The sequence below is a fragment of the Homo sapiens genome, chromosome 5 (genome assembly GCF_000001405.40).
Source record: "Homo sapiens chromosome 5, GRCh38.p14 Primary Assembly".
NCBI classification, from domain to species: Eukaryota; Metazoa; Chordata; class Mammalia; order Primates; family Hominidae; genus Homo; species Homo sapiens.
This window is the reverse complement of record NC_000005.10, coordinates 74680546-74695258: the sequence shown is the minus strand read 5'-3', so window position 1 is coordinate 74695258 and position 14713 is coordinate 74680546. Positions and strand designations below refer to the sequence as shown.

The following is a 14713-nucleotide window of genomic DNA, read 5'->3' as shown; positions in this document are numbered from 1 at the left end:
GCACTCCAGCCTGGGCAACAGAGCAAGATTCTGTCTCAAAAAAAAAAAAAAAAAAAAGCGTCTCTTCTCCTTAGCAGACGCAGATGAGACAGGCAGATTGGACTAATAAAAGCTTAAAATCACTAATATTATACATAAATAAAATTACATTTGTAGTAAATATCTAGATATTTTCATATTCTATTTTGAATAAAATTATAATCTTATGGTATAAAATATATAGCATAACAATGATTATTTTAGGTAACACTCTGAGTCAGATTCCAAATCTTTATTTATTTTGTTTTTTGAGATGGAGTTTTGCTCTGTCACCAAGGCTGGAATGCAGTGGTGCCAGCTCAGCTCACTGCAACCTCCCTCTCCCAGGTTCAAGCAATTCTCCTGCCTCACCCTCCCAAGTAGTTGGGATTACAGGCATGCGCCACCATGCCTGGCTCATTTTTTTTTTGTATTTTTAGTAGAGATGGGATTTCACCATGTTGGCCAGTCTGGTCTCGAACTCCTGACCTCAAGTGATCTGCCTGCCTCAACCTCCCAAAGTGGTGGGATTACAGGTGTGAGTGACTATGATCAATCCCAAGCCTTTATTTTAATGACTAAGTTTGGTTAGTTCATGTTTTTTTAAATTCCCTTTCTAAAAACTCTGCTATTCGGAAGTCAGTACAGTATCTTATCTGCCTAGAAAGAAAGGTAAAAGAAACTTTTGAACAGCAAATGTCCTGAGGTCAAACTTTGAAGTTCAGACTCTGAAATTCTCATGAGAAGCTTTTCAAGTTACTCCCTGCCCACTGCCTCTAACCAACTCTATAGCATATTTGCCTTTTGACACTGTTCCTTATACAAACTTAGTTATGTTTCTAAATCTACAGGAATTTAAAATTAGGGAAGAGAGATGCTTGCTTCTGAAGTCAACAGAAGTGATAGCTGAAACAAAATTCCCTAATCAGGACAGGTTGGGGCCATGTGTAGTGCTATAAACATTACAGTCCCAAGAGCATCAATGAATTACAGCACTGCAGGAATGTAATAACCTTCAAACATTTTTTGAGAGGTCAAATGAGTTTTCTCCCATGCTGTATTTATTTATTTGTATTTTTTTGAGACAGGGGTCTTGCTCTGTTGCCCAGCCTGGAATGCAGTGGTGTGATCTAGGCTCGCTGCAGCCTCAACGTCCTGGACTCAAGCAATCCTCCCACCTCAGCCTCCAGAGTAGCTGGGACTATAGGTCCACACCACTATGCCTGGCTAATTTGTGTACTTTTTGTAGAGATGGAGTTGCACCATGTTGCCCAGGCTGGTCTCAGACTTCTGAGCTCAGGCAATCATCACCTACCTCAGCCTCTCGAAGTGCTGGGATTACAGGCGTGAGCCACTGTGCTGACCTCTCCCATGCTTTATGTAGTACATGTTCAATGGAAATCATTTTGGAACTACATAACAAAGCATTCTGTAAAGGATCTAAGGCGGCAAAGTTTTGCTGTGCTTAATTTCACAAAGCACCAACTGAAAATTTTCCTTTACTGGAAAGTAACAATGAAACTGCATGGAACTTACCTCGTAATGCTCCCCAAACTCTGTTGGCCTTAAGGACAGCCACTGGTTCTTTCACAAGTAAAGTATCTGTATTGAGGATTTAAAATCACACACACACTTTTGTTAATCCCTCAATGACACACAATAAGTTTCCTAAACATGTCATTGATATTTCTGGACTATTATTTTCTCCCAAGCACATGACCTATTTCTCTAACTGCCTCCTGTACATCTCCATTTGGATGTCCTGCAGGTTCCTTCGACTCCACATGCCCCAACAGAACTCTTCCCTCCCTCCTCCGCACACTTCAACCTGCTGGTCTTCTGTGTTCCTCATTTCAGTGAGTCACAGCACCACCATCCAGTCACTTGAGTCACTCAGAACGGGAATTTGGGTGTCAACTCCATGTTTCCTCATTTTCCTAAAAGAGTTAGTCTCTCCAACTTCTCCTCAACAGAGTAGGGTCCTAGTTAAGCTAAGAGTTTAGTTGAAAGTGCAAACATTCCTCAGTTCCTACTAATCCTTGGTAACGCCCTAGGTGTCGCTCAAATCTACTCCCTTTAAGGCCAGAGAGTATCTCCACTCTTTTGCATTCAGAATTTTCTACTTGCCCTGTACCCACCTTCCCTCAGTATCATCCAAATCTGCCTTAAGACTTACTCTCCAAATCCCTTTAGCTTAGTTCAGCTTTGTCTCACTCAATAAAAATAATTCAGCTTTGTCCCACTCAATTAAAAGTTCACATCATCCAGAATGGGACTCCAGTTAGCTGCTTCTGGTGAGAGGCTAATCTTTCAATCTTTGAAGCACACTCTAAGGTTGGCCCAATAGTCATTTAGTCTTTTAGAGAGGTCTGGAGTGGAATCAACCACATAGTAAACCCACAGATGGTAAAGAGATTGAAAGCTAAAGGGTGTAACAGCTTTGGACTTTGCCACGGCAAAGACACTGATGGGCTGGAGATTAATGATTTAATACTGTGTCCTCTGGGGTGGTTTATCACCTTCTACCACCACCACCATTCAGATGCTCACAGAATAGTTAGCTGCAGGTAGGCAAAAGTGCTCTATCAGTAGTGTGAGCATCTCAGGTGATAGTCTTCTGACAAGATAGCCTTTTCCATTAGATAACCACACTCCATTAGATGAGTTAGCCAATGCCAGGCTAAGAACTATATTGCTATTTATGAGCATAGTCTAATTATGTTTCCTCTACATCTATAGCAAATTCTTGTGTTGTTGTTGAGACAGAGTCTCACTGTGCTGCCCAGGCTGGAGTGGAGTGGCACAATCACGGTTCATTGCAGCCTCGACCTCCCAAGTAGCTGGGACTGTAGGCATGTGCCACCACGCCTGGCTAATTTTTCTCTTTCTTTTTTTTTTTTTTTTTTGTAGAGACAGGGTTTTGCCATGTTGCCCAGGCTGGTCTTGAACTCCTGGGCTCAAGCCATCTACCGGCCTCAGCCTCCCAAAGTGTTGGGATTACAGGTGTCAGCTACTGTACCCAGCCTGTATCAAATTCTTAATCAGCTACCTAGAGCTCACTGCTCCATTGGTCACTGTTTAAAAACATTTTTTTGCCACATTCTAGTTTTGAGATCTTCCAGAAATAGCACAGTCACCTAAAAAACATTAATATATTGCATATATTTGATACCAATTATTTTCTAATAGTTGACAACTGGCTGATATTAAACAGGACTGTAATTCAACTCAGTGGAAAATACATATAACAATTAGAAATTTGGTTTTCTAAATATATGGACACATAGCTATAGAATTTCCATTTTTACTTCACAACCAAGTTATTAGTGTTAACAATGATCACTTCCCTGAAGTGTGAAAGGAATTATATCATTGACTTTTCAGTTAGCCCATTCTGTATCTTTTTGCACCATAAATACATTTGTTTTGGAGGGTGAATATACAAATGACATATCTATATATTCTGTTTAAAAGCAATATAATATAGATAAGGCTAAAATCTCCTTTGAGATACTCACCTAACTCCCTCTACCTTCCTCAGAGGAAATACTTATCGGGCATTTTCTTAGGCTTGACATAGATGTACACGGAAGGAGAAAATATAGTATTGCTTTATGCGTGTGTTCCTGCACGTGTGTTGATATATAAACAGGGTCCACCTCTACACATAATTATACAGCTTCCTTTGTTCAACTCAGCAGTTTATCTTGTCAGTTCTCCATGTGTGTTCTCAGTAATACTGCTTCTTTATTCTTAACTGTTGTGATTATACTGTTTAGTATAGATTGACAAGATGTATTTAGCCATTCCTCTATTGATGGACATTGAGTTTTATTGACAGTTCTTCACATTACAGGCAAACTGCATCAAACATCCTTGATTTATGTGTCCATTTATCTGCAGTAAAAACTAGTCCACTTCTCAGGGCATGCATATTTTTATTTTTAATAAATAGTGGTGCTTTAACATGTGTCACCTCCTCCAACATGTCCTCCCACTCTGGACATTTGATATCTTGTTATTTCCATTCATATGTGTTACTTTTATCATCATCATCAACTAGTTTAAAGACTAAAAACTAGTTTATTCTTCAGCTGAAAATTTCACAATAACCTTGTCTCAAGAAACTTCCCTTTCAGAATAAAGAGGGTTTGTAGAACTGACTGAAAGATAAGCTATGACTCTCTAGTCTCGATACATTTCATTTTGTGGAATTTACAATCTGTTATCTGTATTGCCAATGGACAGCAAAGATTCCTTGGCAACGTAATGACCATTTCCATCTCAATTCAGGTTGCAAAACCTACTTCACATGGTGTCTGAGTGCTGAGTATCAATTGAAATGATACCTGATGTTGGTGAATTTTCCTATTTCTCTTCTAAGAACAGCTATGGAATTGAAGAGAAAGAAAGCTTTTTTTCAAAGAGATGTATTATTGAGAAATCTCATCTAAACCAGCAGGATGAAGACATGTACTTAACTGTGAGGCAGTCTGGGGGTAATGGAGTTGCTCTTTTCTCTAAATTTGTGGCATCCTATCTTTTTTTTTTTTTTTTTTTTTTTTTTTTTTTTTTTTTTTTTTTTTTTTTTGAGACTGTCTCACTCTGTCCCCCAGGCTGGAGTGCAGCGGCATGATTGCAGCTCACTGCAACCTCTGCCTCCTGGGTTCAAGTGATTCTCCTGCCTCAGCCTCCCGAGTAGCTGGGATTACAGGTACGCACCAACACGCTTGGCTAACTTTTTGTATTTTTTAGTAGGGATGCAGTTTCAGCATATTGGCCAGGCTGGTCTTGAACTCCTGGCCTTAAGTGATCCACCCACCTCAGCCTCCCAAAGTGCTGGGATTACAGGTATGAGCCACAGCGTCCAGCCTCTATCTTTACACTTAGTTCCCCTGTCTGCTCTTTCTTGCACGAATCTTATATTACACATGTCCTTATACTGCCCTTCTTTGATTCCTTGGTGCAATTCCACATTATTCTCAGGCAGTATACCCTATAGAAATGGCACGCCCACTTATTTGTTCTAAAACAATTTGGGAAAAGCCCTAGAGAATAACGTTTTAGGCAACAACGAGGACAAAATCATACAGCTAAATGTTGATTATATTGTACAGCAGATTACAAATGAAACTGCTGTACCCACCCTCTCCCCTAGCTCTGCATTATCTTTCTGTAAAATTAGATTATAAATAGAGATCATGGATACAGATGTTTTCAAAGACAAAAAGTTAAGAAATTACCTAGATGTCCAAAAGAGATTACCCAAGTCAGCTCATCCATATAGTGACAGAACATTATTCAGCCATTGAAAATGATATCACAGAAAACTAGTGAAATTCATGTTTAATTTATAATGTATTTTGCAAAAAAGCATGATATAAAAATACAACAAAAATACAAGAAGCACATGTACAGAATTACTGCCATTTTCATGTCAATGCTTATCATGTTTGTATTTATGTCTATGTAAAATGTTTACATGTTTTACTCTGCAAAAAAATACACCTAAAATGACAGTGATTAATTCTATCTGCTGGGATTATGAGTGATTTATTTCTTCTTCTGCACTTACTGTACTTAATAAATTTTCCACAAAGACTATGTACTACTTTTATAATCAGACTTTAAAGGTTATTTTTAAAATAGGAATCATAAACTCACTGGTTGAGAACTCAGTGGTTCCTAGCATGGAGTCAGTTTTTGGCACTTAAGTCCGTCAGCGAGCACCTGGGATATAATACACTCACATTGCATAGGTACTTACAAGACTCATCTGAAGATATGTTGGGGAAAGCATCACACTCTGACTGAAGGGTGATTGAGACAAGAAGTTGCTGAACCTGGGTTTTAGCCTGGAATTCAGCAGGTTCATGATGCCACTTGTAGAAACCAAAAATATAGCCATGATATCTGTTTGAGAAATAAATGTAAACACATTTTAGAAGGATTTTAGCCAAATTTTTAAAACAGATGTGCTAGTAACATTGTAGTTAACTCCTCAAATCCATGCTGCCCATTGTAAGTCCAACTAGAGATTCTCACCCCAAGCTGTACATTAGAATCACTTGGGAAGTTTTTTGAAAATCCCAACGTCCATGCCTTCAGAATCAGAATCTATTAGAATGGGATTCAGGCATGGGAATTTTAAATGCTTCCCCACACTCTGAAGTGACATATGAAGCCCCGTTAAGAACCAATAATGAAACCATCATGGTAATCCATCACTCTTGGGAATGAAAAACCAATTCTGACCAGTGATAGGATGTGGGGGTTAGGGGGAGTTCTGAGCAAATCACAAGAAAACTTCGTTTCTCTGTATGTGAGAGCTGGACTAGTTGCCACTACACTAAAGTGGACAGAGCAGAGATGGAAAGAATATGGATCCCTGGTAACACTGTTGAGCCACTTGGTCAACTTGCCCTAAATTCATCCCTACTTTTGGACATCCTAATGTGTGAAATAAGTTTTCCTATTGTTTGAGCCAGATTGAGTCAGAGTTCCTGTTACCTTCCTGCAAAAGTATCCTAGCTTACATATAAAGCCCCAAAAGAAGGTCCAGAATTCTCACCAGAGCCTTTAAAATTTACTTTTTGTTGGCCAGCTGCAGTGGCTCATGCCTGTAATCCCAGCACTTTGGGAGGCCAAGGCGGGAGGATCACGAGGTCAGGAGTTCAAGACCAGCCCGGCCCACATAGTGAAACTAAAAATACACAGTCTCTACTAAAAATACAAACAATCAGCTGGGTATGGTGGCAGGCGCCTGTAATCCCAGCTACTCAGGAGGCTGAGGCAGGAGAACTGCTTGGACCCGGGAGGTGGAGGTTGCAGCAGTGAGCCAAGATCGCACCACTGCACTCCAGCCTGGGTGACAGAACGAGACTCCATCTCAAAAAAAAAAAAAGTACCTTTTGTTGGTATCCAAAAATCAGAGAATATTAAATAAAAATTCTGTAAAGGCATTAAATATTGTAAAGGCATTAAATATTAATATTAATATTAAATACAAAAAAAGTACCTTTTGTTGGTATCCAAAAATCAGAGAATATTAAATAAAAATTCTGTAAAGGCATTAAATATTGTAAAGGCATTAAATGTTAAATACATAAAAATTCTGTAAAGGCATTAAATAAAAATTATGTAAAGGCATTAAATAAAAAAGATCAGACAGGCTTCAGAGCAATTGTTTTTGGTATCCAAAAATCAGAATATTAAATAAAAATGTAAAGGCACTAAATAAAAAAGATCAGATAGGCTTCAGGGCAACTGTTTAAATAATATTTTACAGATTTTGGTAAGCCAGAAGGTTATATATGCTACTTATGTGTAAGAACGTCTTATGCTTTTTTGCAGAAGAGGTCGGAAAATTCTGACATGTTTGGAAGTGTATGGAAGTTAACCAATGAGAGAATGGAATGGATGTAGGTGTTGAGGGCCCTTCTCATAGGAAAACCCTGACAGATTAAAAAGGAAATTAAGACCACCGAAATACATACTTACAAAAGGTTAAGATGGTAAATTTTATGTTATGTGTATTTTTTCCTTAATTAAAATTTTTTTAAAAAAGAAATTAAAGCTGCTGGCAGCTTTGAGATCAGAGTTGGAAGCTGGCTTAGAACCTTGACCCTAGGTAGTAAAATTCTAACAGAAAACTCAAAGGGCTGTGAGGCAGTATGTCAAAGGTATGTGGGTTAGTTTAGCCTTCCAGGAAATGAAGGAGTGAAGCTATTTGTTTATTTTTAAAAATGAGTGACTAGCATGTGATGAACGCTGTTCTAGAAGCTAAAGAAGCAGCTATGCATCTAACAGCCAAACTCTCTGCCTGCAAAAAGCATACTGTTTCAAAGCAAGGTTTGTGATACAACCTGGGCTCTTCAGAGACAGGGGCTATGTGATGCTGAACAATCTGGGGCCTAGACTGTGTGTTCCTGACCACGTCGCACTTTGTGAACACTCCCATATTTCCAAATCTTTCCAACTCCACTGTGCTTTTACTCTGAGATACCTGCTGCTCCTTCTGAGTTCCTAGAATGCTCACATGCATGCCTTCAAGTCTTAGCCATAAGGGCCAACACATTTTATGACCTGCTTCCTAATAATACCAGGCATAATTAATGGCTGCTTCACTCAGAGGCCATGAGTTAGGCAAACTCTTCAGGTAATCACCCGCACATGCCTTGAAATACCAAGCCTTGCCTTCGAACCATCTCAGCTGATTTAAGTCCTGGTTATCTACCTATTGTTAACTTACATCACCCATGCTTTCTTGTCACAGTCAGTTCAGCATATTACCAAGTCCTTGTTTTACTTAGCAGTATGACACAGAAGGAAAATCCAATTCTACAAGCTGAACTCCAAGGCAAACATAATAAGCGTGTTTGTTTTTAAAAAGATTTCCAACCCTAGTCATGATCTTCTGAGACAACCTTCATGTACTTTCCATGCAATCTTTCTGAATATCCCAATGCAACCAAACACTTTGGTTCTACATCTTAACCCCACTCTGGCCTTAGCAGATTGGATACCAAAGGCTCATTAGTGTGTGTGTCTAAAATAGAGACTGATAATACCCATTTAGTTGTACAAAACAGAAGGAAACCATGAGCCTTCTGATTGTAGAGAATGAACCATTTCTGCCATCAGCATCTTGGGCCTCTGCAGCTTGAGCCTAGGCACCTGTCCTATCTGGGGTCAGAACACATTATTCAGTTAGTTTGACATTCCCTCCCCACCTGTTCAGGGTCCTGCAAGCACACTTAAGCTCTATAGTATCCACTGGGTACAGCGACAGGCTTGGGGAATGCCAGGAGGCAGTACAGTTAGCACCAAATTACAATTCTGCAGGGCACGATACGCCTTCAGGACAGTCCCACCTACACAGGTCTCACACTGAGGGGACAGTGTGTGGCGTCTTCAAACATCTCCCCAGGGGAACCTGCCTTGTCTATGGTGTGATTGGCTGACTCCCATGACAAAACTCACCCTGTCTGCAGCCAAAGGGTGAGAGAGACAGAGGCGCTATCTAGGGGTCTGTAAAAGAGGAAGCAGGGAGAGCAGGCAACATGATCGGTGTTGAGAAACAAAGTTGGATACTGCCTAACCACTGACCGCAGAAACGTAGTCAGATGCAAACATGTCACATTTTATATGGAAGAGATTTTAGGAGAGAGGGCAGTTTTAGGCAGTGCTCGAAACTGAGGACTTCTGCCATTTGAGCTGTTACCAGGAGATGTGAGGAGAGGTGAGGGGGCGAAACTGGCCTATAAATGACAGTCAGCTTTGGGGGATTCCTGGTCCCTCAAGAGAGCTTGTCTAAGCCCTTCGGGTAACTTATCCCTTTGCACGTCCTTCAAATAAGGAGCTGTCACTTTCCTCCCCAGCTCCGGTGTCCCCTCCGTCCATGCCATTTGCCCAACAAGGCCTCAGAGCAAACTCCCTCTTCCACTTACTATCCGGCTCTCAAACCAGGGTTCCTGAGCACCCAAGGTGTCCCTTAAGAAGCAGTAGGAGGGTGGGGGCAAGAGCGTGGGTTCAGTCCATGTGGCGCTGGGCAGATCGCCTGCCAGCTCCCAGGCGGTTTCTCGTCTGCGCAGTGGGGTGGTGAGGGTCTGCACAGCGCTCCGGGGTGGTCCGCCTCTCCCCTCCCCCAGGACAACTCCCGGCCGGGCCGGGAGCGCTCACCGTCGAAACGCTTCCTCCAGCAGGGTGCAGGAGGGGCCCGCCGTGGAATTGGGGCTGTGGCTGATGTAGAAGTTCTCCGGGGCGAGATGCAGCAGGTTCGGGGTCATCTTCACCAAGAGCGGCAGGGGCCACAGCGCCGGCCCCGGCTTGGCCGAGACGCTCGGGGCCCGAGCCGCCTCCGCCACCTGCACCACCAGCGCCACCTGAGTCAGCAGCGCCAACATCGCCGCCAGCAGTGTCGCCAACAGCAGCGCCAGCAGCATGGGCGGCCGGGGCAGCCCCAGCCCGCACAGCTCCATGGCCGCTCGGCTGCTTTCCGCCCGGTCTGCCGAGCCGGAGCCTCGGGACCCGACTTCCCGCCCGGCCCGGATCAGAGGAAGCGCGGCCGCGGGTGAGTCACCGAGTCAGATGACTGCGCGCGCCCGCCCCCGACTCCGCCTCCAGGCCCCGGGAGCGTCCTCGCCCAGCCCGCCCTGTCCAGGTCACCTCGAGAATTTCCTCCAGGGGTGCCCTCGGGTAGGAGCAGAGCCCAGACAGCAACCTCAAACACGGGATGGCTAAAGTAAGAAAAATGCCCGGTGCTGGCCGTACGTGGTGGCTCACGCCTGTAGCCCCAGCACTTTGGGAGGCCGAGGCGGGCGGATCACCTGAGGTCAGGAGTTCAAGACCAGCCTGGCCAAATTGGTGAAACCCCGACTCTACAAAAATACAAAAATTAGCCGAGCATGATGGCGGGTGCCTGTAGTCCCAGCTACTCGGGAGGCTGAGGCAGGAGAATCTCTTGAACCCGGGAGGCGGAGGTTGCAGTGAGCCGAGATCGCACCACTGCACTCCAGCCTGGGTAACAGAGCAAGACTCCGTCTCAAAAAAAAAAAAAAAAAAAAAGAAAAGAAAAAGAAAACGGCCCAGTGCACAGGCTCGGGACGCCAGGCCGACACCGGGTCGCCGCTCACGCTGTCAACACGGGCGCTCTCCTGTGGATCCCTGGCTTCGGTGAAGCTGGAGAAGCCAAGCTTGAGGAGCACCTTTCTCCTCTCAGCCCAACCACCAGATAACCGAGATGAGAGCTGAGTTTATTTGCTCCTAAGTCTAGGCTTTTCTGTAACAGCACTTCAGCTGTGGTCAATAAAGCCTTCCTATCAGAACTCCCTGGGGCAGAGCATGCCCAAGGAATCCTGAGAGAGAACATCTTGGCTCATCTGTGTGGGTCCCGATATAAAGGATCCCAACTGACAAGTTTGATTTCATAACCCATCCCTAAGGAAGAGCCAGTGAAGTCACATGACGAACACGGACTGGAGATGCCAAAGGGAGAAGAGGTGTTCTCTTACCAGAAGGAGAAAACGCTAGGCAGACCAAAACCACAGATCTGCTATATAAGTATTCTGAAAATGAGGGTGGAAGAGCTTTAAGGAAAGACTTCAAAGAAATGTAATGATTAGGCCAGGTGCGGCGGCTCACGCCTGAAATCCCAGCACTTTGGAAGGCGAAGGAGGGCGGATCACAAGTTCAGGAGTTCGAGACCAGCCTGGCCACCAAAGTGAAACCCCGTCTCTATTAAAAATACAAAAATTAGTTGGGCGTGGTGGCGGGCGCCTGTAATCCCAGCTACTCAGGAGCCTGAGGCAGGAGAATCGCTTGAAACCGGAAGGTGGAAGTTTTAGTGAGCTGAGATCACACCTCTGCACTCCAGCCTGGGCAACAAGAACAAGACTCCATCTTAAAAAAAAAAAAAAAAGAAAGAAAAGAAATGTAATGATTATTGGGCCTCAGAAAATGAGACCCCAAAGTGTGGCACTTTGGCATGTTGAATACTTGGAACTGAAGAAAAGAGAGTCAGAAGATCTTTCTGACCTTCTCCTGCCTTTCTTTCTCCTGCTCCCCTTTCTTCCCCAGAGCAAGCCATAGAAACTAGAATTCCTCTTTTTCAAAATGGGTCACAGAAACTAGAGCCACTGTTGGGCATGGTGGCTCACGCCTGTAATCCCAGCACTTTGGGAGGCCAAGGCAGGTGGATCACTTAAGGCCAGGAGTTCGAGACCAGCCTGGCCAACATGGTGAAACCTCATCTCTACTAAAAATACAAAAATTAGCTGGATGTGCTGGCACACGCCCGTAATCCCAGCTACTTGGGTGGCTGAGGCACAAGAATCACTTGAACCTGGGAGGCAGAGGTTGCAGTGAGCCGAGATTGCACCACTGCACTCCAGCCTGTGCCACAGAGTAAGACTCTGTCTCAGAAAGAAAAAAAAAAAAAGAAGAAACTAGAGCCCCTATGCCCCCAAAGCCAGTCATAAAATCTAGAAATATTACTCTAATCTTGCCGTGTCTTTCTGTAGGAGCCAGCCATAAAGAGGTTCTCTGACCTACCTTGTCTGATAGTGGCTCTCAAGACTTTTGTTCCAGAGTGGCCCTGCACCGTATCCTGGAGGAAGGAATACCACACAGAGAGGCCAAGAAGAATTTGAACAGACACATCTTGCCAGGTTTCTCCTCTCTATTACCATTAGGTTGATCATATCCTTTTTGCCCAATCGCATTTCTGCCTGGCTGTCTGCTCTGCATCAAACCTAAACATCAAAATAGGCAGCTTTTCCTGGGTCTTTGAGCCTTCATTCTGAAGGCTCCCATGTCATGTAAAACTGATTAAATAAATCTGTTATGCTTTCCTTGTGTTAATCTGCTCTTTTGTTATAAGAGTGTCAGCCATGACTCATGATGGATGAGGAAAGGTATCACATCTTTCCACCCCTACATGGTGCATGTTTAAAATTCTTCCATAAAAGAAAACTTCAGTGGCACACTATTCTCCCCTATTCTTATAATTAAGACAAATATAATTTGCAATATCCATCTTTACTGCCACTTTTTACTGTCAATGGAAGCACGGCATAATGTTTCCAAGATTCAATCATCAATTTATGTTGTTGCAATTACTATATACTTAATTACAACTTCACATTGCATACTAGCTATCTATTGCTGTGTCACAAATTACTCCAAGATTTAGGAGCTTAAAACAACAACAGATAAATAATAAGATAAATATCTCACAGTTCTTGTGGTTCAGGAATTTAGGAGTCTTAGCTGGGTGATTCTGGATTAGATTATCTCATGAAGTTGCAGTTGTCTGAAGGTTTTTTTCTTTAGGCTTGGCTAGTGCTGGAGGATCTTCTTTTTTTTGTTTTGTTTTGTTTTTTTTGAGACGGAGTCTCGCTCTATCGCCCAGGCTGGGGCGCAGTGGAGCCATCTCGGCTCACTGCAAGCTCCGCCTCCCGGGTTCACGCCATTCTCCTGCCTCAGCCTCCGGCGTAGCTGGGACTACAGGCGCCCGCCACCACGCCCGGCTAATTTTTTGTATTTTTAGTAGAGATGGGGTTTCACCGTGTTAGCCAGGATGGTCTCGATCTCCTGATCTCATGATCTGCCCGTCTCGGCCTCCCAAAGTGCTGGGATTGCAGGCGTGAGCCACCGCACCCAGCCCCGGAGGATCTACTTCTAAGTTAACTTGCATGGCTGTTGGCAACAGATCTCAGTTTCTTGCTGGCAACTGGCTGAAAGCCTGAGTTACTTGCCATACCCACAATATAGCAGCTGGCTTCTCCCAACCAAATGATCTGAGAAAGACAGCAAAGAGGAAGCCACAATGCCTTTATATAGCGTAATCTTGTAAGTGACATGCATCACTGCTACCACATTATATTCCTTAGAAGTAAGTCACCGAAGAGTTTAAGAGTGGATCTCAGATGCAAGGAAATTGAAGGCTAGAAGACTAGGAAGAGATAAATTATCGGTGGGAATGACTGTGGGCATTTAGGAATTAGGGTGATGGAGGGTGGTTTCAGGAAGATTTGGAGTTACATTCACCAAGCCCTGAGATCTTGTGAAACTATCAGATCTCTTTTTTATTGCACCCCGTTATTAACTCTGACTCATTATTTAAAAGGGTGCTATAACACGGGAACAATATTAACATACTCATGGTTGGGTTAGATTTTATTTTTTAGAAATGGGGTCTCACTATGTTACTCAGGGTGGACTTGGGCTTGGGCTCAAGCAATCATGTCTCAGCCTCCTGAATAGTTAGTACTACAGGCCTATACCAATACACCCAGCTTGGGTTATATTTTAAATCAGGGTTTCTCAACCTCAGCACTAGTGACATTTTTGGCTAGATGGTTTTTTGTTCTGGGGAGCTGTCCTGTGCATTACGTGATGTTTAGTAGCAACTGGGCTCTACTCACTGGTCGTCAGTAGCACCACCCCCAACCCCTGAGCCTCAGTGGTAAAAAACATAAATGTCTCCAGATATTGCCAAATATCACCTTGTTGAGCTCCATTAGTCTAAGTAATAATCACTACAACTTATTCACCAACAACAAGGTGCCAGACATATTATTATCATCCTCTTATTTTATCCCCAAACAACTTAAGAGGTAGGTTTTATTGTCCCCATTTTAGAGGACTATGTTGAGGCTCCAGGGCCCCGAAGAACTAAATGGTTTGCTCACGATACCACAGCTAATTAAAGCTAACGCATGGAATTGAAACAACATGGAGCTGAAACAAAGTTTCCCCAGATGACTGAAATATGAAAAAGTGGACCACTATGGATTTACAGCAAATGTGTTTCCACTGAATTCATTTGTATGGTATCTGGTTTCCCTGAGGACCTTTCTAAACATGTAACACCATTGCTTAAAATGCATCACTGGATTTTTACTTTCTATAGGGTAAAATCAGACCTTTAATTAAAGACCATCAACCTACTAGTCTAATCAGAATCTGAATCAAGTTTCTCCACCTGGGTGCACTGTGTGCTAAATATCCCCAAAATGGAATCCTAACATGTGTACCTGCTGTTATTTTTCCCTTGCTTTTATTTTTCCCACATTCAAGGGGAGGGGAATTAGCTTCCACCTTTTGAAGGGAGGAGTATACTTTCTGACCACAAATTATTTCTATTTCTTCCATGCAAAACACATTCCCTTTCTCCCAAGAACCCCAAAAATCT

General features: G+C 43.2%; 1 protein-coding gene across 2 annotated transcripts in view, besides 6 other annotated features; it reads right to left on the bottom strand.

The window, feature by feature from the left end:
- Positions 1–14713, bottom strand: part of HEXB (hexosaminidase subunit beta) — an 81266-nt gene that overhangs the window by 26030 nt on the left and 40523 nt on the right. The window contains exons 1-3 of one of the 2 annotated variants that reach the window (NM_000521.4): positions 9700–10026; positions 5786–5931; positions 1555–1620 (exon numbers count right to left, since the gene is read on the bottom strand). In NM_000521.4, coding sequence (NP_000512.2) covers positions 1555–1620; positions 5786–5931; positions 9700–9998 — 511 coding nt within the window. In that variant the 5' untranslated portion in view covers positions 9999–10026. Of the gene's footprint in view, positions 1–1554; positions 1621–5785; positions 5932–9699; positions 10027–14713 lie in introns of those variants that run through there. The other variant, NM_001292004.2, reaches the window with a different exon arrangement.
- Positions 9049–9138: an enhancer, noted in NCBI's record as "active region_22674". NCBI's record gives its function as "activates an Ori minimal core promoter by ATAC-STARR-seq in GM12878 lymphoblastoid cells {active_cell/tissue: GM12878}" and the evidence as "EXISTENCE:reporter gene assay evidence [ECO:0000049][PMID:35858748]".
- Positions 9149–9198: an enhancer, noted in NCBI's record as "active region_22673". NCBI's record gives its function as "activates an Ori minimal core promoter by ATAC-STARR-seq in GM12878 lymphoblastoid cells {active_cell/tissue: GM12878}" and the evidence as "EXISTENCE:reporter gene assay evidence [ECO:0000049][PMID:35858748]".
- Positions 9259–9308: an enhancer, noted in NCBI's record as "active region_22672". NCBI's record gives its function as "activates an Ori minimal core promoter by ATAC-STARR-seq in GM12878 lymphoblastoid cells {active_cell/tissue: GM12878}" and the evidence as "EXISTENCE:reporter gene assay evidence [ECO:0000049][PMID:35858748]".
- Positions 9814–10314: an enhancer, noted in NCBI's record as "H3K27ac hESC enhancer chr5:73980770-73981270 (GRCh37/hg19 assembly coordinates)". NCBI's record gives its function as "activates a minimal SCP1, AML or CMV promoter by ChIP-STARR-seq in primed H9 embryonic stem cells {active_cell/tissue: H9 hESC(primed)}" and the evidence as "EXISTENCE:reporter gene assay evidence [ECO:0000049][PMID:30033119]".
- Positions 9814–10338: a biological region, named in NCBI's record as "H3K27ac hESC enhancer GRCh37_chr5:73980770-73981270".
- Positions 9999–10338: a silencer, noted in NCBI's record as "silent region_16095". NCBI's record gives its function as "represses an Ori minimal core promoter by ATAC-STARR-seq in GM12878 lymphoblastoid cells {active_cell/tissue: GM12878}" and the evidence as "EXISTENCE:reporter gene assay evidence [ECO:0000049][PMID:35858748]".